This window comes from Homo sapiens, chromosome X (assembly GCF_000001405.40).
Source record: "Homo sapiens chromosome X, GRCh38.p14 Primary Assembly".
Classification (NCBI taxonomy): Eukaryota; Metazoa; Chordata; class Mammalia; order Primates; family Hominidae; genus Homo; species Homo sapiens.
This window is the reverse complement of record NC_000023.11, coordinates 118,572,866-118,584,933: the sequence shown is the minus strand read 5'-3', so window position 1 is coordinate 118,584,933 and position 12,068 is coordinate 118,572,866. Positions and strand designations below refer to the sequence as shown.

The window sequence follows — 12,068 nt, the reverse complement described above, 5'->3', positions numbered from 1 at the left end:
GACTCACATTCATCATTTTAAAAAACTGAGGATTCATCTATTATATTTACTTATTGCAGAAACACCAAACACTTACTTCTTATATTCTGAGAGCAACTTGAGAATGTCTTCACTTGAAAGCTTGCTACTGTCTTGTTTATACAGAGGAGAAAATCTCCCATCCAGATCAAGAGAGCCTTGAGTATCTTTGAAAATGGGTCTAAAACAGCAACAGAAGCATTTTTTTAAAAAAAAAAATTCCATGTTGATAAATTAAGATAAAATTAGCAATGGTCGGGATGTAAAATGGTGAAACCACTTTGGAAACAGTTTGGCGGTTTCTCATTAAGTTAATCACCCATCACTCTACAATCCTGCAATTCCACTCCTAGGCATATTTCCACATGGTACATGAATGTTCTTAATTTGCGCAGCAGCAATTTAACAAAAATTTATATAAATAAATGTTCACAGCCAATTTATTTGCTATAGCTCCAAACTAGTAATAACCCAGAAAAAGTGAATGGGTAAGCAAACTGCTGTATATTCACGCAATGGGATACTGCTCAAAATGAACTACATATTCACACAACAATATGGATGAATCTCAAGAACACTGAGTACAAGAAAGCAAACATCAGAGGACATACTGCATGATTCCATTTATATGAAGGTGCAAAAGAGATTAAAAGTCATCTGCAATGAAAATCAGATCAGTGGTTGCCTGGGACAGGGATAAGATGGCTGAATGGACAAGGGACATGAGGAAACTTTCTGGGGTAATAGACATGTTCCATATCTGGTTGGGGTGGTGGTTACGTGACTGTATACATTCATGAAAATTCATGAAGCTAGACATTTAAAATATGTACATTTTATCAAAGGTGAAGTATATTTCCATAAAGTTCATAAAAAGCATAAGGATAAATTTATATGGGGAGATTACAATGTAGAGTCGGTTCTCTGTATCCACAGGCTCCGCATCCGTGGATTCAAAAAACCATGGATAAAAAATATTTGGAAAAAAGAACTGTGTCTGTACTGAACACAAATAGACTTTCTTGTCATTATTCACTAAAGAATACAGTATAACAACTATTTATATAGCATTTACATTGCATTAGGTATTATAAGTAATCTACAGATGACTTAAAGTACATGGGAGGATGTGAATAGGTTACATGCAAATACTACGTAATTTTATATCAGAGACTTCAGCATTTGCAGATCTTGGTATCTGTGGGAGATCCTGGAACCAATGCCCCATGGATACTGAGGGATGACTATATATGTATAGTTTCCTATATGAACTTGAATTATTCCCTTCCCCTCCTCTTCTCCCATTTTTAAGCAACTATTCTGCTGCTAAAATGGAAAACAATATACACGCACCCAACACACTGGAAGCAGCTATAGCCTGAAACATATTTCCCCCCAGCATACCTCTGAAGATGTGGTAATAGGCATTAATTAACTCCATTGTTCCTACTTCATATATATATATGTGTGTATATATAAAGTGTATATATACACTTTAAGTTCTGGAATACATGTGCAGAATGTGCAGGTTTGTTACACAGGTATACATGTGCCATGGTGGTTTGCTGTACCCATCAACCTATCATCTACATTAGGTATTTCTCCTAATGTTATCCCTCCCCTAGCCCCCCAACCCACCGAAAGGCTCCGGTGTGTGATGTTCCCTTCCCCATGTCCATGTATTCTCATTGTTCAACTCCCACCTATGAGTGAGAACATGCGGTGTTTGGTTTTCTGTTTTTGTGTTAGTTTGTTGAGAATGAAGGTTCCTAGCTTCATCCATGTCCCTGCAAAGGACATGAACTCATCCTTTTTTATGGCTGCATAGTATTCCATGGTGTATATGTGCCACATTTTCTTTATCCAGTCATCATTGTTGGACATTTGGGTTGGTCCCAAGTCTTTGCTATTATGAACAGTGCCACAATAAACATACATGTGCATGTGTCTTTATAGTAGAATGATTTATAATCCTTTGGGTATATACCCAGTAATGGGACTGCTGGGTCAAATGTTGTTTCTGGTTCTAGATCCTTGAGGATCGTGACATTGTCTTCCACAATGGTCAAACTAATTTACACTCCCACCAACAGTGTAAAAGCGTTCCTATTTCTCCACATCCTCTCTAGCGTCTGTTGTTTCCTGACTTTTTAATGACCGCCATTCTAACTAGCATGAGATGGTATCTCGTTGCGGTTTTGATTTGCATTTCTCTAATGACCAGTGATGATGAGCTTTTATTCATATCTTTGTTGGCCACATAAATGTCTTCTTTTGAGAAGTGTCTGTTCATATCCTTCGCTAAGCATACCTCCTTTATTTCTAGTAAACAGAGGTTTATCATATATCTTTTAAACATCCAGCCCAGCCTTTTGAGTAAGTTTTTACTACTGCTGAGAACCAAAACAATTCAGGAGGAAAAAAATACCTTAATTCCTCATTAGAACTGGAAATCAAAGCTTCTAACTTTGAAGACTTCAAAATTAACTTTTCTACTGGTAAAACGGCATCAAGCAGCTACTGGTATGGCCCAAAGAGGGACCGTATGCCACAGTGGTCTAGAGATGGCTTTGAAGGCAGGTGCCCTGGGTTCTGATCCATGTTCTGCCACATGCTGTGTGAACTTGGAAAATAATTTATATTTTTGTCTTTCTGCTTCACTTCTGGGCCTCAATTTCCTCATCTTCAAAGACAGGGATAACAGTACCCACCTTTTAAGACAATAGACATGAAGCACGTAGATAAGTGCCTTGAACAGAGTTAGCACTTGATAACTTTTTTTTTCCCCGAGACAGAGTCTTGCTGTTGCCCAGGCTGAAGTACAGTGCTGTGATCTCGGCTCACTGCAACCTCCGCCTCCCACGTTCAAGCAATTCTCCTGTCTCAGCCTCCCGAGTAGCTGGGATTACAGGCGCCTGCCATCACGCCCGGCTAATTTTTATATTTTTAGCAGAGACGGGGTTTCACCATGTTGGCCAGGCTGGTCTTGAACTCCTGATCTTGTGATCCACCCGCCTCAGCCTCCCAAACTGCTGGGATTACAGGCGTGAGCCACTGTGGCCGGCCAATAACCAATTTTTTTTTTTTTTTTTTTTTTTTTTTTTTTTTTTAGGAGACGGAGTCTCGCTCTGTCGCCCAGGCTGGAGTGCCGTGGCGCAATCTCTGCTCACTGCAAGCTCCACCTCCCAGGTTCACGCCATTCTCCTGCCTCAGCCTCCAGAGTAGCTGGCACTACAGGTGCACGCCACCATGCCCAGCTAATTTTTTTGTATTTTTAGTAGAGACAGGGTTTCACCACGTTAGCCAGGATGGTCTCGATCTCCTGACCTCGTGATCCACCCGCCTCGGCCTCCCAAAGTGCTGGGATTACAGGCGTGAGCCACTGCACCCAGCCGTGCCCAGCCAATAACTATTAACAATAATAATAGCAGCAGCAGCAATGGACTTTTCAGGCTGGAGCATTAAAAATATGCTGATATTTATAAGCCATACTTCACCTTCTATAATGCCTACATACACCAACCTCTGCTACTCTTTGCCATTCACCTACCCCTAGCTATCATTTTTTTTTACCAGTCTGCAAAACAAGGACAATAGTGATCTTTCATCCACCAACATACAATACATTTTGAGACCTTGCCCAAAATGAAATGATTATAAATAGTGACAAATAAAAGAGTTAATTAACTTAGAATCTCCTACCCTTATGCTACTCCCTAGCACCCACTGAACATAATTGATTGAATTATTCAGAACATGGTGTCCTTTCCACAGAAGCCCCAGTGAGCTGTACAGGCTGTACCACAAACAAGCCAGTGAACCTGTACTTGAAAAAGGGAGAAAAACAAGAAACTTGTTTTAAGTCATCCCTGCATGGATTTACAAAATTTGGATAAAATAATGTAACCTACCATCAGATATGAAATATAGTTATCACATGCTGGCAGAATTTGTCATCAGGAAGAAAATACATTAATTACACACTCACATTTAATGACTTCATTAGTTGCCTCTGAATTTTCAGTATGTTTTCCAGAAATATTCTATGATAGATTTTCAAAGCATAAACACAACCAACTCTGAAATAGGGGGTATACTGTACATAACTCACTATAATTTCTGCTTTTCTGAAAAAATTCCATGACTACCAAATAAATTCTGCTTTTAAATGCAGTAAAATTAAGTGGTGTCAGTCAGAGCAGTAACCAAAGCCAAAGAAAACTTCCCTAAAGCAAGACATATGAAAAAAAAAATGAGAGGGTCTTTGATGCACAGCAAAGTTTAAGAGAAAGCATTCTTGGCCGGGCACAGTAGCTCACGCCTGTAATCCCAGCACTTTGGGAGGCCGAGGCGGGTGGATCGCCTGAGGTCAGGAATCCGAGACCAGCCTGACTAACATGGTGAAACCCCGTCTCTACTAAAAATACAAAAATTAGCCAGGTGTGGTGGCGCATGCCTGTAATCCCAGCTACTTGGGAGGCTGAGGCAGGAGAATCGCTTGAACCCAAGAGGCGGAGGTTGTGGTGAGCCGAGATCGCGCCACTGCACTCCAGCCTGGGCAACAAGAGCGAAACTCCGTCTCAAAAACAACAACAAAAATAATAATTATTACATCCCAAGTGTCCCAAGATACAACTGGCCTGCCAGAAACACAGTGCTGAATGCTGGTAAGTATAACAGCCCTTAACTTCACATATGAACACGAGTGAGCGGGTCAGGATTATATTTGTACAAACCTGGCAGCCCAAGCGAAGGGCATTCTGTATTGTCCAAGGCGGCTACACACTTGTTTAGCTGTCCTGTGCACCTTCTGGGCCGTCTAAGGTCAGAAACAAGAAGATAGGCTTGTATTTGTTCAAACTGCCATGGACCCACCCAGAAAAATAATTTCCCCAACCTACCATTACAAAACATCAAAAATCTCAAAAAAATATATAGAAATAGCCACAAGCAGAATAACATGCATCAGCCAGCCATTTTTCAAGTCCAAAGTATTTCATAAAGGCTTTGGATTTTCTCATTAACAGAGCTTCTGTCACTTATAGCAGAAGACAGACGAAATAGATATAGGGCACACTTTGAACCAAGACCTCTACTGGAAAAATGTTCAGTGGTTTTAACATGTACTTTACTTCACATAGCAGGCAAATGCTCATCATTCTTGGGAGAAGTTTTTTCTGGATACAGCTGCCCTTTCTACTCCCAAGACAAGGAGCAAGTCACCAGGAGTCAAGGCAATTAGTCTAAGTGTGGGCAGGAGCTGCTGTTTGCACAGGCACAGGGAGATGACAAGGAGATAAACTGCCTATAGAGTCTAAACAGACTCGAAATGCTGGCTGGATGCTTATCCCTAGGGATACAGAATGCTGGAGGCTTTTATCTATATTGTTGAGACATTTTTCCTCCACAAATTAGTCCCATCACATCAGCAACTTCCATTTAATAAACACTATTTGGGTATACAACAAAATGCCATGTACAACAGATTGATGTACATAAATACACAGTAGCTGGAGTGCTACTAATGAACTCAACCATGAACCTTTCCCTCCTGGGGTCTCAGTTTTTCCATTTATAAAAGGAGAGGATGAGATTAGAGCGATGATTTCCAAACATTTGAATTTCACAATTTCACAATTTTCTAGAAATCTGGATGACAATATAGGGTTGCCAACTTTTAATATTGCCACTTAAGGACACTCAACAATAATTTTTTAAATCCCTGCCATTTAATATGCCAACATTTCATGAAAGGAAGATACGCATAACCTTTAAAAAGTAGGAAGGGCAAAGATCTCAGAATAAAGGGCAGCCCTTTGAATTAAATACATTTAGCTTCATGAAATGTTCACTGTCTGTCTTTCTTTTCTCGTTTCATCACAGACAGGAGTAAATCTGGGTATGAACTGACATTTGGGAACTATAGGACTGGATCATCTTTAATCTCCCAGCTCTGAGATTCATTCTAGCACTTCATGTAGGGCTGTAAGGAAAAGAACGGCTATTGTCAAGGATATGGTGTCAATTAGCAGATGTTGCCTAAAAGCTTTTGGCTCTTATTTTGATAATCAAGCAGAAATCAGATTATCACATTAACAGAACATCAATGACAATAGGAAAATATGCCATGTTCAAGTTTTAGCAAACATACACAGTATACAATGTTTTCAGAATATATAGCATGCTCAAAGCAATGGCATTTAAAATATCAGTAAAAGGCAAATTCTACGTTAAGGTGAAATGTTGATCAACAACCTTTATAAATTACCTTTACTGGATCAGAATTTTTGATATAGGGTTCTGCACAGTGTGTAATGTTTCCCTGTAGTACCTTTTCAATTCTGGCAACTAGAAAAATTTCAGGATGTGGATTCGTCACTGAGAAAATTCCCTGGGAAAAAAGTACTTCCGTTAGACTTTCTTATGTAATCTTGTGCATATGGTTGTTTATGGTTAACGATTTTTAGTAAACAATGTTCATATTCAACAAAGGATCATGTCCAGGACCCTAGAAATAGATAGAATTTCCTTTCATAGAGTTTTCAAAGCTTCCAACGTTCCTTTCAAAATGGATTTTATATTTTGTCACCAACCTCACATCTGTTAGTCTCCATAGCGCAGGTGTCACCGTTGCTGCTTTGCCTCTTTGGTTTGGTTGTGTATGCGAAGTGAGTACATTTCTCGAGTGGAACTAGATATACATTTTTAAATGCAGCTGCATGTAACTCAAGAGCAATTAATATTTAACTAATATTTATTTCCACTAAGAAGGAAAAAGAAACTTTACTGCTCTAATATAGAAAAACTAAATCATCCTCTAAAAGACATTCCTTTGTTGCAGTTCAAGAGCTCTGGTGCTTCCAATGCAAAGGTAGGAGACAGAGAATCCAAAACTCATTTTGTCCCCATACACTTTACTTAAATGTACTAATGTAGATGCAACCAAAATTACATTTTTCTTTGAATGCATGTGGAACAGGAACACCTCCTGTCCAGTTTGACTCCTTCCAAATATAATATCATCTACATAGCATGTTAGTTGGTTATGCCTGTTGTTTAAAGGGGCATCACTAGTGAATTCAAGTGGAAAAATCTATCACTGAGTCTCTACCAAAATTTCGTTTTTTTCCTTGATATATTACCAACTTTGTTAATATAGTGATTTCCAGTTTCCAATGCATTTCAGACACATTATCTCATTTGTACCAGATAGAACCCTTGGAGGTAGACAGGGCAGAATAGAAAATTGAGTGTTAAGAGGCTAATGATTTCCCCCAAGTCAAACAGCTTATAAGGATCCTGCGTAATGGCTGATTCAGCTTTGAATTCCCAAGCAGCAAGCATGGAACAAAGTGGTTCAAATTTGCTTGAGAAAGTGAACAAAGTGGTTCAAAATTGCTTGTCAAATTTCTTGGGTTCTGGCTCCAACATTTATGGGTTTAAGCAAGTCACATTCTCTCTAAGTCTCAGGTTTCTCATCTGTGAAATAGCAGGATAGTAGTGATTTCATACATTTCTTGTATGGATTAAATGAAGTAATGCACATCAGGTACCTTGCTATTACCCAGGTGGCCCACCAAAGCATCCCAAGGTCACAGAACCTGGCTTCGGGTACTGCCGGGAACATGCTGTTTGAGCTGTGAGGCTGAACGGGTTGGCAGACTGCCCGGGCTGTCCCTGCAGAAGGTATGCTGAGCAGTGCACCTTGAGTGCAGTGTTACGCTAACTGCCACATAACCATGCTAGATGGTTTTCATGCTTTATCTCATTCAGTCTTCATAAAAACCCTGAAATGTAGGCACTACTATATACATATTCTATAGATTAAGAAGTGGAGGCTCAGAAAGGTTTGTGCAGTGAGTAAGTGGGTGAAGAAGATTGCAGTTCAGGCTTCCAGATTACACAGCCCATGCTATATTCTCTCTCAGCCCTGAGTCCCATACACCCAACATCTCATATGATGAGGCCTGATTAGAACAGTAATACTGCTGGGTGTGGTGGCTCGTGCCTGTAATCCCAGCACTTTGGGAGGCTGAGGCGGGAGGATTGCTTGAGCCCAGGAGTTTGAGAACAGTAATACTGATTATTGCTATAGCTAACATTTACTGAGCACCTATTGTTTCCCATTCCCAGTACTCTAAGCATTTCCTACTGATGCCAGCAATGAGGACTATAATTTTAAGATAGTTGATAATTGATAAAAGCTTGCTGTTTTCACTTGTTTGAGATCACTGTCAGTGCTACTACTCCTGGCTGCTACGCTGCACTGCGCTAACCCAGTGTGCCCATCACAGTGCTGAGTGTTTTCTTAGAACCACGCACCTTATTTGTGCCTCCCCACAGCCCTTGGAGACAGGTACTGTCACCACCTCCACTTGCAGATAAGGATGCTGAGGCACAGAGATGTCCATTTTCTAACTGACCAGGGATTCCAATGATGGGGGACACTCTTTGGGGTTGTTTTACCTTTTGTCCCAACAGCTTCTGGTCCTCTCCCTGTCCCCAGAATGCAAAAGGTGGCCAGAGAGAACCCAGAAATCCCACGTGGGCTGGAGGTCTGGCCGTTTAGGACAAGGTCTATGGCCCAGTCCTTGTTTCCCACCAAGGGGCATGAATATGCCTCCCCACCCCAGGGCGACTCTTACCCACTTTGCTGGCCCCTCCCGCTAGAAAATGGGCCAGGTCCTCTACCCCAGCCACCAGCACTTACAAAGCTCCCAGGATGTGGCAGGGCATGTGCTAGGGTTATATATTTCGGCACTTAATTACATTTGTCTAATATTCTTGATCAAATTATTTCAAACAGACCTAAATTCAAATCCTACCGTCACCACTACTAGCTGTGTAATGGTGAGCAGTTTACTTAACCTCCCTGAGCTTCAGTTTCGCCATCTGTCAAACAGTAGTGATTATATCATTTCACAAACTAGTATGATTACATGAGACACTGATGGAATAATGTTGGCACACAGGAGATCTTTTTTAAATGTTGATTTTCTTCCTGTTCCAAATTACAAACTGGATGACATCTGAAATCATAATTTAAACTTCCTGCATTGAACATACAGCTGAGTGCTACACACTGAAGTAATACGGGAAATACACATTGGCTTAAAATGACTTATTTGATATTGTGCAGGAAATTTTAAACATAAAATTCAATAGCAAGTTCTCAAATATTTACAACACTTTACTTGCTCCATCCCTCTTTCAGAAGCATCCACCATCATTGTGGAATGTTCACAGAGGTGACAACTATAGTCTCAGTAACAAGCTAAGGGGCTATCAGGGGATAAGGGACAACTTGAGGACAAGCCACCAGAAATCCACAGCCCCAAAAAGACAGTGACAGTCCATGTAAAGCAGTCTTCCCCAATGTTTGATCATCTATATAAATCAGCATAATCTTTGACCCTAAAAATCCTAATGCTTGGAATTTATTCTAAGGAGATAATTCAACAAATGAGCTAAGATGTGTGCACAAGAGGTTCAATGCAGCATTATTTCTGATAGCAAATAATTAGAAATGTCTTAAGTAGCTAAATCAATGAAATGTCATGTTAGCCTTTCATATAAATATGACTGATCTATAGATATTGGTATAGGATGATAAATATGATATTAAAAGAATACAGTAGGTATAAAACAGCATGAATATAATTTTTATAAGCATACACATAATGTGTATATATTTCTATATACACAACAGAGATGTCTGAAAAGATGTTTACCAAAATGTTAATAGGTATTGTCTTTTGGGTGGAGACTTTTACTTTCTTTTTTATACTTCTTATATTATTTGAATTTTCTACATAAGAATGTACTTATTATAATCAGGAAAAAAAGAATAGTATTTTTATTTAGAAAAAAATCAATCTCCTTACAACATGAACAGCTTTGTTCATATGCCTCTTTCTACTTTTAATTCTATGCCGTGCTCTCATTTCCTTTTAGCTGCAAAAGTCTAGCGAGCAAATGATCAATCCACTCGGCTAACTTCTTATGGCCTCTAGTCTGGTCAGAGGTCAGAATTCCAAGGAACAGTTAAGCTCTTTCTGAAAGGGATTCTTTGCTCCAGATAGAATAGAAGAGTGTAGCATTACAGCTATGACACAAGCAGTTCCCGCCCATTGCTTTTCAAGTAAAACTCCTTGTATAAAGAGCCCATATGCTCCATTCAAATGACCTACTCATAATGGACATGAAAATCAGGGGTGGGAGAGTTAATTTAGGGTCAATTTTTCTTAAAAACCAAAACTTTCAAGCACTTATTGCCTTGCTTAGAAGTATATGTATGAGTGTGGGTGCAGGTGTGTTTATGGGTGTCTGTATCAGCTTTCTTTGTGAGACGGAGTCTTGCTCTGTTGCCCAGGCTGGAGTGCAGTGTAGCGTGATCTCGGCTCACTGCAACCTCCACCTCCTGGGTTCAAGCGATTCTCCTGCCTCAGTGTCCCGAGTAGCTAGGATTACAGGCGCACATCACCACGCCTGGCTAATTTTTTTGGTACCTTTAGTAGAGATGGGGTTTCACCATGTTGGCCAGGCTGGTCTCGAACTCTTGACCTCAAGTGATCTGCCCGCCTCAGCCTCCCATAGTGCTGGGATTACAGGCGTGAGCCACCACGCCTGGCCTGGTTCAGCTTTCTATCTCACAAAATAATTCCCTTGTGTCTCACATCATGGTCCCATTAAAAATGTTCCTTTGATAACATGTTACTAGCATGTTCATTGGTTTCCATTTTTGCCCTCAAACTTCAGTAACCAGAAAAATCTCTATCGACAGACCTTACAAGAGAGAGAATGCCATGAAAACATTGGCCTGAAACCATGAAATAATACAAGAATATTTCTGTTTCTTATTCTGAATACGCTGCTAAGACTAAAGGTCATTCGTTACCTGTTGTATGTAGCGTAACTGAGATTCGGCAATTCCATGAATGTAAGATTCGGGTGAAGAGCCCTTTGGGCTACCGTCACTGGCCAGTTGGGTTGAAGAGCCCCACAGCATTTCACGGACAGATGGGGGATTCAGGTCTACATGAAAGTCTGCTGAAATCTTACAATTGTTCTTTACATCAAATAAGGCAAGATTGATAAAAAAGGGCTCAACCTGGGAATGAAAACAGTTACATTTTAAAACTGAGACTTTAGTGGGGGCATGGCGGGGAGGGGCACAAGTGCAAAATAAGTTTTGTATTCCTCCAGTTTCTGTGATTACAATTCCTTTCTGAGTTCAACACTTAGCTAAAATTATATTATGGCTTATCTGCACAGAAGAAAGGGCATTCCAAAACAACAGACTTCATCAAATTTTAACTTCCGTCAGGTGTAGATAATTTCACAAGTTATAAAGTTTACCAAAAAAATGGAAATCAAAAGCTACATTTAAATAACACAAATTGTTCTATGAATAAAATTTTATTCGCTACACGTTTACTGAAACTACCTAAAAAATAATGCCAATATTACAGTATAGAAATAAATCTTCTCTTCTGTTATGTTCCAACTTACTTGACTATACATTTCATAAGCGCTAATAACAGTCAACACCAAAGTACTTGACAAAAGCTTTGCCCTATCAGCAATTTTGGAAGACATGATTCCTCTCTACAGATGGCATTTGAAAGATGGTCACAAAGAGAAATTTCATGCCAGATGGCATAAAGATTAACCCTTTACACACAGAAAAGTCTGTTGTACTTTTAAGCTATTTTGTAAGAGAATCCCTCATCACTGTTTTATTTTTAATAGACAAAACTAGAACGAAAAAATAAAGATGAACACAAAAAAGTCTCTCTGAAGATTTTACACTTACAGTTTCAAGGATTTCTAAGCAACTCAAATGATCCATGAGAGCTGTCACTTAGAATTTTCTCTGTAGACCAAAATGAATCTAATGCTATAGAATAGTGACCGAGCCTAGCAGACTGCACAGCATCTGTATCCCAGCATGGCTATGGTGATCCTTACTCATTGCTACGAACCAATTTCATAGAAGAAAACATATTATCTAGTAGAATTTACGCATTTGAAGATTTTGCAAGTTTGGG

The 12,068-nt window shown here is 39.7% G+C and overlaps 1 protein-coding gene across 6 annotated transcripts in view; it reads right to left on the bottom strand.

Moving 5' to 3' along the window:
• Positions 1–12,068, bottom strand: part of DOCK11 (dedicator of cytokinesis 11) — a 190,333-nt gene that overhangs the window by 101,214 nt on the left and 77,051 nt on the right. For 5 of the 6 annotated variants that reach the window (XM_005262368.5, NM_144658.4, XM_011531276.4 and 2 more), the window contains exons 12-15: positions 10,916–11,128; positions 6,287–6,409; positions 4,755–4,837; positions 77–199 (exon numbers count right to left, since the gene is read on the bottom strand). In XM_005262368.5, coding sequence (XP_005262425.1) covers positions 77–199; positions 4,755–4,837; positions 6,287–6,409; positions 10,916–11,128 — 542 coding nt within the window. Of the gene's footprint in view, positions 1–76; positions 200–2,446; positions 2,471–4,754; positions 4,838–6,286; positions 6,410–10,915; positions 11,129–12,068 lie in introns of those variants that run through there. The other variant, XM_011531278.3, reaches the window with a different exon arrangement.